The 21,216-nt window shown below is 44.3% G+C and overlaps 1 protein-coding gene and 1 long non-coding RNA gene across 4 annotated transcripts in view, besides 1 other annotated feature; both read left to right on the top strand.

Annotated features, from left to right (window-relative positions):
• The window catches only part of OPCML (opioid binding protein/cell adhesion molecule like), a 1,117,521-nt gene that overhangs the window by 165,153 nt on the left and 931,152 nt on the right, over positions 1–21,216 (top strand). The gene's annotated exons all lie outside the window — the stretch shown is intronic.
• On the top strand, positions 1,269–7,292 carry OPCML-IT1 (OPCML intronic transcript 1). The gene is made up of 2 exons (NR_046790.1): positions 1,269–2,040; positions 5,157–7,292. It is a non-coding gene; the product is annotated as an OPCML intronic transcript 1 (long non-coding RNA).
• Positions 6,028–6,528: an enhancer, noted in NCBI's record as "H3K27ac-H3K4me1 hESC enhancer chr11:133230716-133231216 (GRCh37/hg19 assembly coordinates)". NCBI's record gives its function as "activates a minimal SCP1, AML or CMV promoter by ChIP-STARR-seq in primed H9 embryonic stem cells {active_cell/tissue: H9 hESC(primed)}" and the evidence as "EXISTENCE:reporter gene assay evidence [ECO:0000049][PMID:30033119]".

Genomic DNA, 21,216 nt, shown 5'->3' with positions numbered 1-21,216 from the left:
CGGTTGGAGCAGGGGGAAGAGTAACATGCAGCCATGTCTTTAGCGACCTGAAGAGCCTGACTCCTGCATTCCGGCTGGGTGTGGTGGCTCACGCCTGTAATCCCAGCACTTTGGGAGGCTGAGGCAGGTGGATCATGAGGTCAGGAGATGGAGACCATCCTAGCCAACATGGTGAAACCCTCTCTGTATTAGAAATAAAAAAGTTAGCTGGGTGTCGTGGTACATGCCTGTAATCCTAGCTACTTGGGAAGCTTAGGCAGGAGAATCACTTGAACCAGGGAGTCAGAGGTTGCATTGAACCGAGACACCGCACCACTGCACTCCAGCCTGGTGACAAAGTGAGACTCCATCTCCAAAAAAAAAGAAAGTGCATTCGATGATTGGATGGGGAGAAGACATGAGGGGTGAGTGAAGGGGGAACGCTCGGGTTGTCCCGCTGGGTGTCCACCTCCCTGCTCCTCTGTGCCTTCTATTGGTGCCTCCTGAGTGTTAGGCATCAAAGTGTGGCTGGGTGGTATCTTGGACAGAATCATAGTTTTACACTCATCTCTTAAATAGGTAGCTCTTACATGTGAATGCTCTGAGGACTAAGTAATCTCAATACTAAGTTGCTGTGGAAGCCAAATATTACAAACAAGAGAGCAAAATGTGTTGCTGCTAATGCTAAGAAGTAGAGACCTGGGTATTCTTTTTTTTTGAGATTAATTCCTCAGTGTGACATTTCTGCATCCTTCCACCCCTTTGGCTTCCGCCTTCTTCTCCCCATCATGAAGGGATGGTTTTGGAGATCAAGGGAAGAGGAAGAAAACTGCTGTCTTCCTTCCCAATTTCAAGCCCCAGCTCAGTATAATTCCAGCCTTTGTTTTGACACTTTTTATCATGTTCCCAGACACATTGAGCTCTGTTCTTCCCCATAGGGAAGGGGTGAAGAGTTCAGCTTTAGTTCGGGCCATACTTCCCTTCTTTTTCCTGATCCCCTGAAAAGAATTGCTGACACTCGCAGCTGAAGGCACTAAGTCATGCAGCCTCACGTCGGTGACCCACTCACCTCCCATGCCTTCAATAAACCTGGCAGGCGGGGCTCACGGGATCATCAGACTCTCACAGCAGGATTTGTATTCGTGACCTGATTTACACTTTTCCCTGCCTCCTGCCAGTAATTTGTACGGTGAAACATTTGTTGAGAAGGAAAAGAGGAAGGAGGTGGTAACATATTTCTCTGGCCATTAGCCTGTGTGCTTTAGGGAACAGCCTTCTCTAACTAAAAGGTAAAATGAAAGGAAGAGAAAACGTGGGGTGTGGAAGACATTGCCAGTAGCCTGCAATATCTTTCCTTCCTTCCTTGCTAAGAGGAGCCATTGTTTGGGGCAGCAGGTGCCCCATCCCAAGGACCAACCATGTTCCCTAATTTCCAGCATCCTTTGCAGCTGTGGATGGCCATGTGGCCTATTTTTTTGCCATTGGGTTGTAAGTGGAAGTTGGATTCCAAGAGAGCTTTTTCATAACCCATGAAAAACTCAGTTACTGCTAGGATTACACTTTTCTCTTTTTGTCAGCAGCCATCTTATGACCAAGAGGTGACTAGCATGAACACAAATGCCTTCACACTGAGGGTAGGAAGCTGGAAAGCAGACTTTAGACAGCAGATGGCATCCTTGAATATCTCAACACTAATGCCTTTATGTCCCCAGACTTCATGTTCTGGGGGAAGAATCGATCTCTATTCATTTACCCTACCATACATGAGGTATGGACTGCATGTCTGTCCCTCCCTATTCCCGTGTTGAACTCCTGACCTTCAACAGGATGGTATTTGGAGGTGGGACCTTTGGGAGGTGATTAGATCATGACAGTGGGGCTCTCATGGATGGGATTAGCACCTTATATAAGGAGATATGTGAGAAAGATGGTTTTTCTCTCAGCCATGCGAGGATAATAATGAGAAAACCACTATCTGCAAACCAGAAACAGTCCTTCGTCAGACACCACATCTGCCAGTGCCTTGATCTTGGACTTCCAGCCTCCAGAATTGTGAGAAATGTAAGTTCGCTGTTTAAGTCACCGAGCCTATGGTATTCTGTAATAGCATTCCAAATGAAGACAACAAATTGTGACTTTCTTTCTGAAGCACTTCTAGCAGCTGCCTGGTGTGACTCAGTGTGGTCTCCAAGAGACTGTGCAGGCCTGTGTAACTCTGCTGACTGCACATCTGGAGGTGGTCGGCATTGCACAGCAGTGGTTCCCAGGGGCAGAATGGGTATATAAGTGTGTGTGTGTGTGTGTGTGTGTGTGTGTGTGTGAAAGAGAGAGAGATAGAGAGAGAGGCAGCAGTGGGGAGAGTCATGTTGATGAAAAGGAAAAAGTCAGATCATGTGAAAATCTTCCAAATCAAATATTTGAAAAAGTTGTGACTAAAGAGTTGGAGTGACAGCATCAGTCTCAATTTGATAAATTCCACCTGCTATAAATAAGGTTAAGCAGGCCCCTCACCACACACCCCCCACAAGCTCTCTGCCACCTGTGTTCACCTGTCAGAGGGTCCAATCCGCTTTTTAAAAAATATATTCATTTTGAAAAAATTCAGAGTTCTCACTAAGTGCCAGGCAGTATTCTAAGAATTGGGAGAATAAAGATAAAAAGAAGGGCTGGAGCTCACATTCTGTTTATTTTTCAGTACATGACATACAAACTTCCATTTGATGCTTAAAATAATATTGTGAACTGAGTAGTTTGGTTTGTTTTACCTTTTTACGGATGGAAAAACTGAGGCCCAGTCTGAGGCTAAGTAATTTCTCCATAATCACGCAATCACTGTAAGAACTGAAATTTGCAACCAGATCTAAGTCCAGAGTCTGTTTGCTTTCCACTGACCTGAACTATTAATTTCTGTCTTTTAAGGGCTCCCAGTCTAATTAGAACAATAGGAAATATTTGAAGTCAGAGAGATCAGACCAGGGCTCCCACCTCTACTACTGCTCTGTTAATGTGTATTAGCACTGTTTCATGTGGGCTCTTTTATCTGGGAAATGAAAATATTAATATCTACTTCATCAGCTAGAATTTAGTAAAGGTCCATTCTGCAATAGCTGGTAGTATAGGTGGTTTGTACATGCACATGTGCATGCGTGTAGGAATATACCCTTAAGTGACTGAACTAAAATTTGATAGTCGTACTTGCTCTTTACAAAGGACTGCTGTTTACAAACAGAGGTAGCCACTGAATAACTGAGGGAAATCGATAACAACATTTTAGAAAAGGGGACGTTGGAGCTGGGACTTACCGCATGATAACCACTGACTAGTCTGAGAAGCGGGAGGAGTAGGAGTGGGAGGCCCTCTTAGCAGAGGCACCTGTGCATGAAAACAGATGTGCTGTGCAGCGTCAGGGCTAGGTCACTGCGAGCTTGATGTGGCCAGCAGAAAGCGGGGTGGAGGTGAGATTGGAGTATACCTTTGAGGTCAGCCTGAGTAGGTTCTTGGGTACCATGCTAAACCAACAGAGACAAGTGACCTGAAATTCTTCACTCCCTGCAAAGAAATAGAGAGAGCCTCCTCTTTTGCTCGGCTTGGGATACAGCTTCCCAGAGCCCCACTGACCTTTGGGGGTCGTGGTCACGCACAGTGGGAGGGGGATTCCTTTTCTTTCTGCGCTTTGGCCCTGCCATACCTCCTTTCACAGCTCACCTGCTTGAGGTGTTGCTTTCCATGCAGGTGCGAGAACACACGTGCATAGGAAAGACTGTGCCTCTGCACCTCCCCAACCCGACAGCATCTTGAAAGGAGAAAATGGCTCTAATGGAAATCTCTATTATAGCAATAGCCAAAGGCACTGCTTTTAAGTAGTATTAAAGAAGCAGAGAGGAGACCAGCCCATAATCCGTGTGCCTTTTGCTGGGGGGATCCCATTTTCTCACATAAGGAGAATTTATCCTAAACAAGGTAGGCTTGGTCACGTCTGGAACTACTGAAAGAGAGAGAACTCACCACAATGCCATCTAGTGCGCCCCACCCCTCGGCCCTCTGCGCTGCCTTGGCGAAGACTCGTTTCCACGATCATGTTCTGTTCTGCCCAGGAAGCTCCTACGGCACGTGTAGGAAGCGCTGTCTCCATCCATGAGTAGCAAAGTGGAGCCCAGTGCTCAGCGACATGATGGGGTTTCCAGTAGCCGCGGGGCCTTTGCTGTCCTCCCTCAGTCCTGGATAAATCATGACGTGCAGATATCCACACCAGCCACTCGACAGCCCAATCCCTCCCTTGAACGGTCCTTCCATGGGGCAGGGTATTGCCCTTTCTTGTCATGCCTGGCTGGCCTCGCGCAGTGTCCTGGGAATCTTACCTAAGTAACTAAGCTGCCCTATGGGAATGTAGTCCCATGTGAAAACAAGAGAGCACGCTGGTTTCTCTGCATTCCCTTCTGAGCAGCTTTAGGGCACAGAGCTATTGCAGACATCACCACCCTCTGTCCATGTTAAAAGGAGAAATGGCTTTGATTGTGGACAACTCTAGCGGGGCAGAAGGTAGGTAGTGGGATTAGGACGTGGGACAGTGTTGATTTCCCACCGCGGGGCCAGTGGGAGTTTGGAACGGATCTCCTCTTATCCTTCCATCTTGGTGGAGTTCATTTCTCAATTCTGGATTCCCAGCCTAAGGCAGGGTTAACATGTGTGACTAATATCATCTCCACCCAAGATGTTTCTCACCTCATTCCCTTCAGCCAGCCCCCGCTCTTCAGCCCCACGTCTCCCGTTCCATTTATCTCCATCAGAGAGAGATGGAATCTTCCCTGGCGATTGTGGCAGCTTGACAAGCTTCTGTTTTTCCAAGTGAATAATCCTCTTTGTAGGACATCAAGGAAACAGCTCACTTCCCCGGAGGCCTAAGCACAAAGCCGCACTGCTCCCTGGGTGGTGGATGGGCTCCTGGTCCTGTCCGAGGGGAGGCAGCCTCCGAGGGGAGGCGGGAAGGGAAGAGACACCGTCCAGGAGGAGCAGGGCCTTTCCAGAGCGGAGCAAGCCTTCAGGTTGCGCCTTGCAGCCCCGCGGCCTGTGCTCCAGAGTCTCCATTTCACTGCGGCCAGCCGGCTTCCTGAGTCCAGCATGTTTCTTGTTCATTCTTGACACCACGCACCCCTTCTAACCCCGAGTCTCCTTTTTAGAATCCCAAGTCACACCACCTTCTATTCGATGGGCTCTACGTATCAGGAAGGTACCTGTGACTGGTGGAAGGAAAATGCACTTAGCAGTAATTAGAAGCTGAGCTCAGGGTGCAGCTCCAGGGACAACGCCCGCAGCCCCGACCTCCTTCCCTGCTCAGTCCAGCACAGGAGGAAGGACACCATTTTCTCCGGCTTGCAGGTGCCGCGTGCCTTTGCCAGCTCCTCGGACGGCGGCATGGTGGTTGCTCTGTCCCTCTAGAAGCCTCTGCGCTGCAAAGGTTTGTCGGGTCATTTGACAGAGCTCCATGCGTCCCTGGAGAGTGAGGGCCGGCGCTGCTGTCCCGCATGCTGAGCTCATTAGTGCAGAACTCACTTCGGCAACTGTGGAGGCAGACAGCATGAACAAAGTGCACCTGTGAGCGACACTGCCAGCCCTTGGGAGCGGCTGCGGGCCTGCAGGGGTGAGCGGGGCGCGGCGTGGCTCTCTAGGCGCTTATGGGGGCGGGAAATGGCGGTGCCCCGGAGTAGCTGCAGGCGCCCCGGGATAGCTGCAGGTGCCCCGGAATAGCTGCAGGTGCCCCGGAGTAGCTGCAGGTGCCCCGGAATAGCTGCAGGTGCCCCGGAGTAGCTGCAGGTGCCCCGGACCTGTCTGCGCGCCGGGACACGGGTGCACTGATGCGCGGCGGGCGAACCGCTTGCTCTTCCTCCCACAGCATAGGTGCATTTTGTCTGCAAGAACGCATTGGTGGTGTCCTGATCGACACCGCCAGGACCTGGAGGGGGTGCCTGGCACAGTGACCCCGACGTTGGGCTGGCCCCAGCCTTCCTCTTCTTCCTGCTCTGTGTGGAAGGGGGGCCGCATCACCCTTGGTTCCAGGCAGCCAGCGAGCATTGCGCTCCCGGAAACCCCCTCCACGCGGGACTTCACCCCAGAGGGCTCGTCTGCTGAATAACCGTCACTCAGGCAGCATCTGGAAATTCCCCGCACTTTCAGGCTGAGATGAGACCGCATGCCTGGGAGATCTCACGGACAGCGCCGGCTTGGTGGTCAAGCGGTGGGAGGCCGAAGGCCCCGGCCTTTACAACAAGCGGGGGGTCATAGGAAGTGTCCCTTGGGGCTGGGGACCCAGGGCAGCCGTGCGGAAGGGAGTCACCCAACCAGAGCACGAAGCGCAAGGCCGTGGGCAGCCCCGCAGCCGGGCGGGTAGGACTGCCAGGACTCAGGCATTCGAGCACTTCACGTGTCACACATGCTGCGGAGAACCATTTGCCCTTCGCCACAGCCCTTAGAGTATCTACCGCGTGTGACTACTGTGGCCTCCACTTCCAAGAGAAGGAAACGGGAGTGGAGAGGTGTTTAGTTGCTTAGCCAAGCTGCCTGAGAGCTGGAGCTGATATTTGAACCCGGGCAAGTCTGACTCCAACATCTGTGTTCCTAAATATTCCCCACGTGGCCGTGGGGAAGGTCAACGCAATGAATAACGAGAAAGAAGACACACAGCTTAGACAGATTTTATGAATCAGAATTAAGCAACATAAGTTGCCCGTCTCCCCCTTCTTCCCTCCTCCCTTCTTCCCTCCTCCCCTTTCTCCCCTCCGTCCCCGCTTCCTTCCTTCATTTCTATCAGCCTTTATTGAAAGCATCCTACCTGTGTATTTTCCACAATTCCTGTCAAAATCCTGTGCTCCCAGAAGCGGAGCCTCTCCGTCTCTTGGCTCCAAAGCTGTCTGAGCCTGCCCTGGCTTCAGTCCAGAGGAGACCGGCTTCCTTCCTTCCCCTGCGGGCATCGTCGGCCCTTGCATTCGCATCCTTTGCAGGTGAAGGAATGGCATGGAATCTCGCGTGAGAACTTCATGGTTCCAATGTCAGAATTATGTAGGGATAATTAGAATTCTTAGGCCCTGGTGTGATGTAGTAGGAAGAAAAGAGGTTATGGAGTTGGCCATAGATAAAATAGAATCTCTGCTCTGCTAACTTCTAATTATGTGCTTTCAAAAAATACATTTCCCTTCCTGGATATTCAGTTTCCTGATGTGGATAACCCATCCTGATGGGCAATTATACAAGAAAATTGATGTTAAGTTCCTAGCACGGTGCCTGGCACATTGTCAATGTTCAATAAACTTTAGTTCTCATTTCTCTGTTTCTAGTGGGATTTTAAGCATCTTGGGATCCGTGTTCATTGTGTTTATCTTCACATTTCAATAGTGCCAGGTGTACACACCTTTACACACTGGGTTCACATAGCTTTGTGGAACAGATACAGAAATGAATGAATGAATAAAAATGAGCAAATAAAAGCCTTTTAATGGATAAATCCTCTTAGATCTTCCGCTGGTTATCATTCTCAGATTTTCATTTATATTGGCGAATAATTGAGCAACTAATACGCTAAATACCGAGGATAACAAGATAAGTTAAATATGCTCCATTCCATGAATGAGCTTACAGTTAAATGTGGAGACATTCATAAACGACCACCCACAATACAAATGTATAGAACACCATGGGCAGCTGAGGGACAAGAGCTTATCTATTTTGCTGCTTTGATAAATAGCAGTGTACTTATTTAATGTATTAAATTGGGAACTGATTTAATGTATCTGATCCTCTGTTTTCTCATCGGTCAAATAAGGGTGGGGACTTTGGTGACTCTGCCTCGAAGAACTTTTTCAAGTATTTAATAAAAATTGCTCTGCGGAGTACCTGACACATAGTAGATGCTAAATAAACGCTCACTGATGTCAGCACTAGTCATATATAGTCATCAGTGATATGCTGCAGGGCTTTTTCACTTCCAAGACAACATCATTAGGATATGGCATCCTCATGAATGTGAACAATTACAAAAAAGAATGGAAAGGTACCCCTGACAGAGGGAATATTTTGCATCAGCTCAGCAGCCACAGACATAGACATTGATGAGTACGGCTGGAGAATAAACGAAGATGAGGAAGTGGGGGTGAGAAACCCAAAAGCCTGGATCTCAGAGGAATTTATATGTCAAGCAAAAGCATTTGGAGTTTATTTTATAGGGAATAGCAAGCGAATCAAACACTTTAATATAGGAGGAAGGTGATCAGAGCTGTGTCTGGGGACCGTAAGTTAAGTTCTCTTTTCAAATTCCTCTGATGGCTTCTCCTATAATTCAGAATAAACAACAAAGTTTTTGCCACAATCAGTAGGCCCCCTCCCCCAAATCATCCCTCATCTCCTATCACCCCTGGTCCCCCCACCTACACACATACTCATACCCTGCAGCCCAGCCACGCTGGTCTCTGTAAACCCATCAGACACCTGCTTCAGCACCGTTGTTCTTGTTATTCCCTCCACTGGTCGGGGGTGGGGGGAACACCTCCAGCAGGTTTCTAGAAGGAACACGCCTTCCCCCCATTCAGGGCTCTGCTCAAATGCCAGCGAGTCAGGCAGGGCTTTCCTGAGCATCTTTTGGAAATAGCACTGCCCGTCAGCCTGTGTGTGCTTACCCCACTGTCTCATCCTCAGAGCCCTAGCACTGCCCAATTTGTACCTCTCTCAATTACACTGTGAGCCACATGAGAACAAAGAGTTTATTTGCATCCTTGTACCTCTGTCAACTACACTGCTAGCCACATGAAAACAGCAAGTTTCTCTATTTTTTTCCAGTACCTTGAAAAAGGCCCACCACAAAAGGGGGCTCAATAGATATTTGTTGAATAAATGAATCATCTAAATGACGACGAAGAAATAATTGGCTTGTCCAATAGCACAGGCATGATGATGAAGCCCTATGTCAAGGCAATAGTTGGGGTGAAGATCATGGCATGCTTTGGTTGCTGAGATGTTAGATTTATGTTATCAAGTATCTAGTCAGAGCCCACCATAAGTGCTGTGAATACAAAATAGAATCCCTGCCCTTCTGGAACTTATAGTTCACTAGGGGAAACAAAACCAACAATACAAGTGATGACAAGACAGTGCAATAAAGAGATCTGGAAAACAGCATGTTGTGGAGTACAGAGATAGATTAAATGATAAACATTTTCATCAGTTCATTCATTGCTCACTCATTCAATTCACCCATTGGAGAATGAAGAAGGGAAAGTAGAATGTTTCCACATGGGCCAACTATGAAGACGATATTGCTGTTAGCTGAGATCAGAATGCCTTTGGAAAGGCTGGGGGAAGACTGGAGGGGCCCTCGCACTGGAGTGTCTATGGTGTGCAGTGGGGTAGGCCTGAGGAAGGGAAGTCATGGGTGCAGATGACTTCCCCGGGAGGTTGGCTGGGGACAGTGGAGAGTGGAGAGAACATAAAGGCAAGGCTCTCATGTAGTTACGATTGTGATGGTTGTTTTGAAGGGATTTGAATGTGCTAGTAGCCTGGCAGGAAAGGAGGAAGTACAAAGAAGGTGCTAAACACTCACTAAATTTGATGAGAAGATCAATCCTAGAGAAGACAGGGAAGTGTAGGCTTCACAGCAGAATCTTTATCCTTTGAAAAGGAGGAGGAAAATTCTTCCTCAGAATCATCACAGCAGCTAATTTAGGGTGTGGACACATTTTTATTATTTTTTGAAGAATTATGGGCCCTCACTGGACATTCTTGATTTTCTTGTCAAAGAATAAAAAGATGAGATTTGAGAAGACTAGATTAAAAAGGAGTGATAAGATGGTACTCTGAAGATTTGGTAGCAAATTCAGCAGTGTCTTCAAGCCCACATGTGAGCTGTTGCCAAGAACTGCTGCAGATAAACGTTTTCCCAACACATGCCCTTTTTACAGAGCTGTAGCTTATCATCCACATGTTTATGTCAAACATAGTGCCATGTACGTTCCACATATTCTGTTAATTCTCAGCACAACCCTAGGGAGACATGGGTTATTAACTACATAAAGTTAAGTGTCTTTCCCAGAGTTGGGCAGCTACTAAGAAGGAGAATCAGGTTTGAACCCTGGTCAAAGTGTATGTCCATGCCTCTTACTTATTAGGCTATACTCTCTTAAGTGATCCACCTGAGATGGTTGTTTCCTAACAACGACCATGCCTGGGGTAGTGTAGAATACATAACAGTTATTTTTTAGGGTCTCCAGTCTGAGCTGGTTCTAGGAGCACTGCGAGAAGTGGCCATGAGTTTCTACCTGTGTCCTAGAGCAAACGGTTGAATGACAATTCAAGTATATAACCTACTTTCTCAGTACATCTCTGTATGGACATAGGGTGCCCTTGGTCTTGAGTGGGATTAGCTAGTTGTCTAGTTTTGAAAGAGTCAGCTCCTAAGATGACAAGGAAGTTTGTCTTGATTCCTTCTGCAGAAAAGTCCTTGGAGATAAACTGTCAGCTAAGCCTGTCCAGTGAATGGTTTGCATGGACACGCGCTTTTAAAAAATCTGAACTTGACCTGGATGAGACTCTGAGGTTCCAGAATTAATATATGTCCTGTTCCTGCCACACCTGTGACACCGTGAATTTGTAACCACAGACAAAACCTGGACAGGTTCCATGCCAGCCATGACTTTAATTAAAGCTATTTAGAGGGGCTGAAGGCTAATTTATAGGTGATTGCTAGATGGGTTTTCTCAAGTCTAAAAGTGCCAGTTCAACAATTAATGATAGTACAGGGCTTAATTGGCTCAAGTTAAACAAGGGAAAAGCAAAGAGGGAGAGGAAGAGCTGATGGGATCCTCTGTCCACATGGTGACAAGGCGCCTGACAACCCTCTGGCTCCTACTTTCTCACACGGTCAGAGAACTAGAGAGGCAGGTCTAACCCCGATTGTGGAGAGGCAATAGTGAAAAGGAACTCCAGCTCATTTCTTCTATTTAAATGTGCAATAGAAACTTGTTGCAACAAAACTATTTGTTAGATTCAGAATCTCAGCAGCTCAGAGCATAAACTGCGGAACATAATCACAAAATAGAAAACATCCTTCACCTATAATCGGATGTTAGTTCTATGTTCCAACCTGGGCACTTTAAAGCCCTCTGATTATATTTTTTAATAATGTAAATTTAGTGGTGGTGAGAGAGAGAGAGATAGCTGCCTAAAGAATCATGCTATAAAATATTTTTAAGATAGCATTGGGAAGAGAGATTCCAGCTTACTGGAAATCATTTTCTGTCATTCTTAATTACTTATTTTTTGCCTGGTTCTACAATTCAACCTGTCCTCTCACCAATGTCTTGAAGCCTTTAGAGATTTTTCTCTACTTGCTGGAAAAATCACCTAGGTTATTCTGAATGCCCACTCTATTTAAATCCCTCTGTCCTTCTAATGCTACCAGAAAAAGGAGCTGATTAGCACGGCTGTTAGGAACATGGTTCCCTCTGCACAGACAGAGACCCTGTGAACTGCAGACCTTGCTCGCTGCAACTGCATAGTTCTATAACCTTTAGGGACCTATTCTGGATTTGACTGAAATCTATTTTAAATGACTGAGAGGTACCTACTTAAGACCCCTATATCAGCTACCATCTTGGTTTTAGGATGGCAGATTGAACCACTGGAATTATTTCTTGGACTCCTAGAGCTGAAGCGATGACTGAAATCATGCAGTGCAGTAGGAAGGGCACTGGGCTGAGGGTTGGGAGAAGAGAACCCACCTTCAGGGCCCAGCTGTGCCACCGACATAGTAGGAGTTCTTAGGCTGAATACTTCCCCAGGATCACAGCCCTGTATCTGTTAAGTGCTAGTTTTGCTCTGAATGACCTAGAAGTTTTTTTCCAAATCTCTTTTTCTGTAACTCTCATTTGTGGTCACAGATTTAGTTCATGGATGACTTAAATTAACAATCCTGGATCTTTGATTCTCAACCCAGTGCTCTCAGCTTTCTGCCTTATAGACTTGTATTATGACTCAGGACATGTTGTGAAAATTGGTTAATTCCATTAACAGTTACCTTGGAACTGAGAAACAGGAAGTGCTAGGAGGATGAGCTGCAACAGAGACCTCGTTTTGTTCAGTCAATTAGAAAATGGACTGAGGCTTCCAAATCTATTCCATGTGGGCAGCTGCTATTACATTTAATTTGAAAAGTCATTGGCATCGACTTCAAATTTGTAGAACTCTCCTCTTAGTCAGTTAACTGAAAGCCCTTAACCTTGTATTAAACACATATTACCTTTGTTAGGCAGACTAAACCTTATGACCTTTTTCTTGTAGGTAAATGGAATCAAGAGATTAGTAAGACGTTTGTGCACCTAGTAGCTAGTCATTTTCTTTTTATTCCATCCTTGTCCTCTCTAACCTCAGTTGGGATTGTTTTCAGTTTTCTTTACAGATGCCTAAAAGTTTATGTACTTTTTACAACTTATTTGAGGAGAACTTATCTTTCTACAATTTCACATTCTGTAGGCATGTAATGTCATTTTTATTGCTAAGGCATTTGAAAAGCCAATTTCTTGAACTGAATACCTTTCCTTCTGTAAATATGCATGCTGTGTTACTTTGCAACAACTGATCCTGGATTTAAAAGAATATGTTGAAATCAAATAACTTTTCAGTATTTACTAAGCATCTTTCTCTCATAACACTCAAAATATTGAGTACACAGAAAATACTGCAAATGAGAGATGACAGCTGTTATTACTTCCAGTTACTAAATGCGAAAGTAGAGGTACTTATAAAAGTGGACCAAAGTTAAAATAATCTGTTGGTTAACAAAATTCTGGCTTTAGACCACTTGGATTGAAATATTACCACCTGCTAGTTAAGCAAGTTACAGAATTTCTCTCTGCCTCTGTATTGAATCTGTATAATGGGGATAATATCTCCTTTATAGGGTTGTTGTAAAGATAACATTTTATAGTAAGCATTCAGTATGCATTGATTCGTATTTTTCTTCTTCCTTTAATCATCATCACCATCACTACCACCACCATCATCACCACCACCACCACTACCAACACGTCACCACCACCAGCACCACCATCACTATCACCACCACTACCACCACCACTATCACCATTATCACCACCATCACCACCAGCACCAGCATCATCACCACCACCATCAACCGGTTGGTGAATGGCATCAGCACAAAATAGGACATAAATAGCTACTTAGGTTTTTTATAAACGCCCTTTGATTCTGCAGACTTAAATCTGGAACACTAGAAAAGCATAGCACAGATAGACTTAAAAATGGGTTTTAGGCTTTAGTATAGAGAGGATTTGCTCACACCTTACTTTGATAGAATAGCAGCCCTAGAGGCAAAAAAAATGTGGGAAAAGAGAAAGACAATCTGCTTCCATAGCCTAAAATAAATGGACAGAAATGTGATAAAAGGGATATATATTTTTTCTTTTTTTGATGTCATCTAAGTCACTGTGCCCACTGGAAGGGTAAACTTCATATAGCTGAGCTCCTTCCTGGAAAGTTGATGGAACAGCAGGCATAAAGCCTCTGATTTTGTTTTATCTACATCGTCCAAAAGCTTACATCCCCATGATGCTCTGGGATAAAGTCAATCTAGGAAGAATCTGGCATGGTGGCAGAGTGGCTGGAAGTAGAGAGCAGGCTCCTGCCTGCCAAGTGAGGATCTTACCAGTTAGACAGTGGTGGCAGAGCAGATGACAGTGAGCTTACTGATTTCCTTAGAGAGAAGGGACCAGAGGCTTTGAACAGACTGATTCCTTTCCCATCATCTGTTTCTGTGGCCCCCATCAACATGGAGACCAAGCACTTAAAATATGCAGTCAAGCCAGATGCTCCCCCTCATCCCTAAAGATGACTGGCCAAAACAGGGGCTTACAGGCTGGTCACGGTGGCTCATGCCTGTAATCCAAGCACATTAGGAGGCCAAGGAGGGTGGATCACCTGAGGTCAGGAGTTTAAGACCAGCCTGGCCAACACAGTGAAACCCCATCTCTACTAAAAATACAAAAATTAGCCAGGTGTGGTGCATGTAGTCCCAGCTACTTGGGAGGCTGAGGCCAGAGAATTGTTTGAACCTGGGAGGCAGAGGCTGTAGTGAGCCGAGATCACACCACTGCACTCCAAGCTGGGCAATAGGGTGAGACTGTATCTCAAACAACAACAACAACAACAACAAAATAGGGGCTTACAGGGCAAAGGAAGGATGCTTTGGATAGGTGTGATTCTGAGGCAAATTCTAAGGAAGAGAATGAAACCTTTAACCTTTGAAAAAATTTTAATATGGAAATAGATATTTAGACATACAGCCTATAACTGCGACATTTATTGGGCACCTGTCGTATGTTAGAGACTTTGCAATTACCTAATTTAATGTATCATTATCTCCATGGTAATGGTAAGAATTCTTAGGCTTATTTAGCAGGTGAGGAAACAGAAGCACAAAGAGTTTGTAATTGTCCCAAGGTCATGAAGTTTGATTTGAACCTATTCCTGCTGATTCCAAGTCTAATGCTTCAGTGTTAAGTAGTCTCAGCCCTTGAAAAATATTATTTTTAGAAATAGAAATGAAAACAGCGATTTTTACTAGTCTAGCTCTCATTCCCCTTGTGTTCAAAGAAACCTCATTCATTCATTTGTTCATTAGTTCATTTATTCATTCAATAGTTTTTAAGCATCTACTACACCATACGCTGTAGTAAGTACAAGGATATAGCAATAAAAGAGTTAAGTCCTTATCCTCAGAAAGATTCCCTATTTACATCCTTACTGATTCTCCATTTATATTGAAGTGAAAGACATAATAATGCAAAATACATACGTAGATTTCTTCTGTGAAATAGAGGAGTGATACAAAAAGTTGCTGATGGTGCGTTTGAGGTACTTCAGCACAGGCATTCAGAGAAGGCTCACTGAGGGCTAGTGTGAGAAGAAAACAACTACTTCATGATCCAGGAAAGAGCATTCCCGGCCAAGAAGAGGTCAGGTACAAAAGGCAAGGATGGCAGCAAGCACTGCTTGCTTCAGGGGGTGAGAAATAAGGCCAGTCAGGTGGAAACCTGGTGACAATGGGAAAGCTTCAGGAAACGGGGTACCTAAATTGGTATAAACCAGATTAGCCAAGGCATTGTAGGCATGGTAAGAAGCCTGAAGTTTATTCTAAGTATATAGTAAGTCCTGAAGGCTTTAGCCATTAGAGTGAAATGGTCTGATTTAAGTGTTGAGATTCCCCTCGGTGATAGTTGAAGAATTGATTACAGGGGAGAAGGAGCATAAATAGGAAAGTAAGTTAGAAGGCTATTGCAATAACCCAATTGAGAAACAGTTGCAAAACCTGTGGGGGCAGCAATGAAAATAGCAGGAAATGAAGAGTTGAGATGGTCTTTGGATTGAATATAAGATAAGAGGGAAAAACAGAAAAAGTCAAGATGCTTGCTGGCTTTAGGCCCAATCAGCTGGCTGGATGGTAGTGTCGTTTGCTAAGACTGAAGCATCTCAAGGTTGAAAGTTGTTTGTGTGGGGGGTATGGCATGGCATGAAATTCCATTCATGTGTACGTGTGTGTGTGTGTGTGAAGTATGAGAAGCCTGTTGGATTCAAGTGTGCATTTGAATGAATTTTGTGTTCAGGAAAGTGAACTGGGTTAAGGATATAGGTTTGGAAATAACCGGGTTACAAATGGCATTTAAAACCATGGGATTTCTTGAGACCCTCCTAGGACAGAGTGTGCAAACAGGAGACTGGAAGACCTAGGCTAGAATCCTGGGGTAGCCCTTCTTTTAGAGGTCAGAAAGAGAAGGAGAGGCTTAGGTGACCCAGAAGTAGCAATGACCTAACAATTAACAAGCAAGTAAATGCAGTTTGGTGTCACAGAAGCGTGGAGAGGCAAGTATGTTTTGGGGTTTATTTCTTGTTGTTGTTACTGAGAAGAGAGAAATACAGTGGGAAGATGAAATGACTTTTGGCAATTTGGTAAGATTGAGTCATTGATGACCTTGATAACTGCAGTTGTGTTGGAATGGATGGAGTTGAAAGCTCAATTGTAGTGACTTGATAAGGGAATGGGACATGAGAAAGGAGAGAGATGGAGAATATAGAAAACACTTTTCTCAATCCACTCCTAATTACACTTAGCCCCAGACCACAAAAACTAGATATTGACAAGATTTTGAAAGGCCATTTGCTGTTCCTAAAATAACCGTGGCAAATCGCGGGAAAGCCAATTTTGTGGTCCTGCTTTGTAACTCAGTCCATCTTAACAGCTTTCATTATCAAGAAGTTATTCCTTCTATTGACCTGAGAGGTATACTCCTATTTTAATTTTATGGAGATAGAGACATAGGAAGTTTCATTAAAACCCCACTCCTTCCTCATGTGCATTCACAGCCCTTCCACCTTTCTGCATTGGCCTGCCGTCCAACTCTCTATGCCTTATACCTCTGTGTGAGCCATCACACAGTTTCCAGATAGTGCTGTGTGCATTGATCATATGTTGGAAATGTTCACTGAGATGTGAGTTCCCAGAGAGAAGAAGCTGCCTGTCATCAAGTGTGTATGCCTAGTACATAGGAGGTACTCATTCAATTGTCATTAAAGAAATGTTTTTGTTTTGCAATTTTTGTCTAATCTACATTCATTTGCTTGCTTCTCCTTAAGGTAAAACAATGGTACTCTTGGCCACACACTATATAGAGAGTATGTGCTATTTCATGTAAAAACAATAGTTCAGAGAGAAAAGTGTGATTTTCTTCCCATTCCCATTTGGGATCTCTAAACTCAGCTCATATTTTGGTGGGGGTGACATTCCCATGCTATTATTCTGTCTTCACATTGGGATCTCCATTTCTGGGAGGAAGATAGATGCTAATTTCTTTACAAATACCTTGCTTTCTCACATCTTACTGATGTTTTCAACTTCAAGCAGGGAAGAAAGTCTGGATGATTCTCCATTAAGAGTGTGCTATTAAAATTGTCAATTTCTTGAAATACATGGTTGAAAAACCATCATTTTTTCCCCACTGTGTGTTACCCTAAACTATAGACCTGTCACCAGGCAGTGTTCTAGCGTGTGGGTACAGAGAAACTGTGGGAAGATCCCAGTGGCACTTAAATTATATTCTCCTTTTGATTTCGAAGACATTTAGTGCCATTTAGCAGAATTCCAATGCAGTTGGTTCCACAGAAAAGGGGGCTGTCCCTTTTAGAGGCATCATTGCTGCAGTGACTGAGAAAAAGAAATTAAGTCATCAAAACAGCAGGTTGGCTTTTCTATCCAGACCATCGTGGAATTAAAAGGACAGGAAGGCTCTGTGGGCTCCTCTGCAGCCCGCGATGGTATTCACTGCTTCATATCTGTTCCAACGCTGAGCAGAACAGACCATTGACCTGTGTCCAGTCCACTAGTGTTTCAATGAAAAGTTGATTTTTAAAAGGAGGCCAGGGTACAGGGAAGAAATGGAATTTCATGTAGAAAAATTGCTCTTTCTCCCTGATAGCTTCTAAAGAAAATATGCTCTGTGCATAAGTCAAAATATTTTTTTTTCTGATGGTTTAGCATGTCCCACTATTTCCGTCTGGGATCTGAAAGCACAGCTGTGTTCTTCCTGTCTCACACCTCATCTTCAGAAAGAAAATCCACCGTGGGGAATGTGGCCACAGACAGAACAAAGTCTATAGGAAAGAAAGGCACTGTGTTCATGGTTGCTCAGGTGTCTTAAACAGATTTTGTAAACATTATGGAGATATGGGTCAATATCCCTGAAGAAGAAGGGATTCCTATTGTTTCTCGGATCCCACTCTCCACTTGAAGTATAGGGTATCACCATGCAGGATAGACCCGGCTGAGTGCAGCCTGTGATGATTTCTGCTCACCTAAACTTCTCAATACCATTTACAGTTTTTAAAATGGAACTACCTGGTTCAGGTACTTCCCACAATACCTGAGGAATTAAATTAAGAGGTGAGAATGAGCACAATGCTATCTAAGCAACTAGCACTTAAAAAGTTAAACATCTCCCTCAAAACTGTGCATTGCTAAGTCTATAAATGTATAGATCATTATATTTATAGCACAATGTACAGAGAGAATGGTCTTCATTTCCAATCCATACTCAAGAGAGAACTGTAAAATATTTAGCCAAGTGTGGCTCAGGGAATGCCCTTGGTCTTGACCTTGTTCTGTTATCCTCCCATAAAAATAACAGCTCAGAGTTACTGAGTGGTTACCATGCACATGCACTGCTTAAAGGCTCCACATACAGCCAGTATGAAGTAGATACAATTAATGCGATTTTAGGTTGTAGAAAGGGAGTCAGAAAAGTCAGGTCCCATGACGAAGCCCCCGCACCCCTATGACACACAGCTTAGATCACACCCAGGCCTGCACGCTGAATCCTTCTGCTCCCCTGTGTCTCAGCTGTGGTGAGGGTCCTCTCCCAGCAGACTGCAGATTCCTTAAATGTCAAGGCCATGTCTTCCTGATCTTTACATACTGCTCATGGTAGGGGCTTCATAATTACGGTATAAATATCGATGAAGTCTGTCCCACATGGTCTACCTCACCTCGACATGGTTTGACTTATCATTCTCTTGTATCACGGCCTTTATACTAACTTAAATGAATTTGTAATTTCTTTATCTGGATGTACACGTAGATCACCTTCTAGCATAGCATTTTCTAAGAAGTGTTATTCCTGTTAAATGCTGCAGCAAGCCACGAAGTCTCAGAGCTTTGTGCCAAAGTCCCCCAGCCTTTCAGAAGTTACCTGCTCCTCTATTTGTGAGTGGCTTCTCTCAGCAGCATCAGTGAGGGAGGCTGGGGCTGTATGCTCCTCTCTTGCAGATTGGGCAGCACCCGAGTAAGCCTTTCTAAATGTCTGCCTGTAGTTACTACATGGATTATGTTACCAAACATCTCCCTTCATTCAGGAAAGCAATCTCCCCTATCAAACATTTACGCAGCACCTGCTCGATGCACGACATTGCATTAGGTGCTGGGGGGATTCAAAGATGAATTAGGCACAGTCCTTGCCCGCAAGCAGCTCACAGCTGAGATATGCTAGATGAGATTCAATTGGCATCTGGGCTCTGGTGAATCAATGGCTCTCGTTTGCAGTGGATCTTATTCATCACAATCATGGAACATTTAGTGAATGGTCATTGAGCACACACATTTCATAACAGAGACTTTAGTCACAGTGAGTAATCAAAGAAGACAAATTCTATTGCTTTTCCTGCCCTGAGCCCTTTCTCTCTCCCAGAGAAAGAACAGCTTTTTTTCAAATGATTAATAGAATGCATATACAACTGGCTGAAGGGTCAGATGTAACAGGGTAGCATTTTTTGGTATATCATCAAGCTTTATGTATCTGGCTTTTGATATGGATTGTCATATCCTCCACACTATTGTTCAGTATTCCCCTCTGTCTTTCCTCTCAGCTCACTATCATCTTTTATGGGTGCCTGCATGTACTGGGATTATAAAATTCAGGCAATTTCAGGATCATTCTTTCTTGTCTCATCCTTGATCTCACCCCCAAGTATATTTATTGCTGAAGTGAATGATACACAACTCTAGCTCCATCAGGTGAAGGAGAATTTGGCCAGCAGGAGCTTTCCTTTCCGAGTCAAGAAAATTCCTCCACTTATTTAGAAATTAAATTAATAGCATGCTGCTATGTCCAAATACAGACAGGATCTTCATCTTCTTGAAGCACCTGGTTTTCATCTTTAGTCTTAATTTCAGAGGCCAACCTAAATCTGTAAACTCTGTCCTGTCTCAGTGGATAGTAAATTCCATATTGGATACAGGAGAAAAAAAACACTTCCCTAAGAGCCTTTGAGTGATCTCTAATGGTTTTGCTGCTTTTGTTACAAGCCTACTGTTGGTTTCCAATGAACATAATTTTAATTTGGAGTCCTGCTGGCTTGCAATCTTTCTATGGGATGGCTAAGGCAATGCCATCATGTTAATAACCTCCAAAAGGCCATCTTTCTAATTCTCGCATGTCAGGGCAAACCAGTTGCAGCTCCCGGGAGGACAACTGCACTTGTGCTGGCTGCTCCCAGGGAGAGTCATCATGAAGACACCTTGGAGAGGTGTAGCAGCAACAGGCCACTCTCAGGCCACACGTGCTTTACAAGATGCTTAAAACTGAAGCAAAGGCACAAGCCTATGGCTAAGTTTTGAAGAGCAAATGAAAAATGATATAAGCAATACATTCTTTGGCACCACCAACAAAAAAGTAAATAAAAATGCAACTTTGTGCTTAACATAATACAGGAATTTAGTTGTTTATCCTCTCCCTCAATTTCAAACACTATGCACACCATTCATTACCCTTTTAAGATAATGTGAAACTGTCCTTTTTGAAGGCTATTGGGAGTCAGGAAAGTCAGTCTTCAGTAGGGAATTTTATAATGAACTATAGAAGATCCGCATCAAATCAAAACAAAACAACAAAAAACTCACACAGAAACAACAAAACAAAACAAAACACACACACACATGCACAGAAAACCCCATAGCTAACATCTAGTCCAGAAGTTTGATTATATAGATGAATTTTCAGAGAGGTTAAATTAATTAATCAAACAAGTGGTAAAACGAGGCTTGGAACCCAGGTTTTCTGATGGCTAATTCCACATTCTTTCCACTGCCACCATTTTGTCTTGAATTTTCTTTAAAGCTTACTTGAAAATGGATATGCTTCAAGTGCCTGTCTAATCTATGCTGGCTATTCTAAAAGCTGATGTGGTCCTGCAGAGACCAGACACCTGGTGACTGCATTACCTCCTATATGCCTTCATATTTTCAGTGAACTATTCAGTAGGGTACATTTCAAAATTTGCATTTGCATTTCTATTCTTCTGTAGTCCCCTAGTAGCATTCACATCTCTCGATATTGGCCTCTGTTCTCTCTTCTGCTTTTGAAAGCAAAAATTACCCAGCAAAATAACAGGAATTGCCTCTCACATGCTGAAGCTTATTTGACAGGAGGGATTTGGCTGACTTGAGCATCCCGCTTGGCATTCAGGGATGCTGCACTGCCTGGGGATGAAGGAGGAATGAATCTGAGCCAGACTCGCTAACTCCCATTAGGGACTCCGACCTCTTGCCCAGGACAATGGTAACGTTGACAACTAAAGTCCATTATAGTGAAGGGGATTTAAATCATAGTCTAATTCTCATTAAGAGTGTATGCCAAA

The sequence above is a fragment of the Homo sapiens genome, chromosome 11 (genome assembly GCF_000001405.40).
Source record: "Homo sapiens chromosome 11, GRCh38.p14 Primary Assembly".
Lineage (NCBI taxonomy): Eukaryota > Metazoa > Chordata > Mammalia > Primates > Hominidae > Homo > Homo sapiens.
The sequence above is the reverse complement of the archived record's forward strand: the minus strand, read 5'-3'. Positions and strand labels throughout refer to the sequence as shown.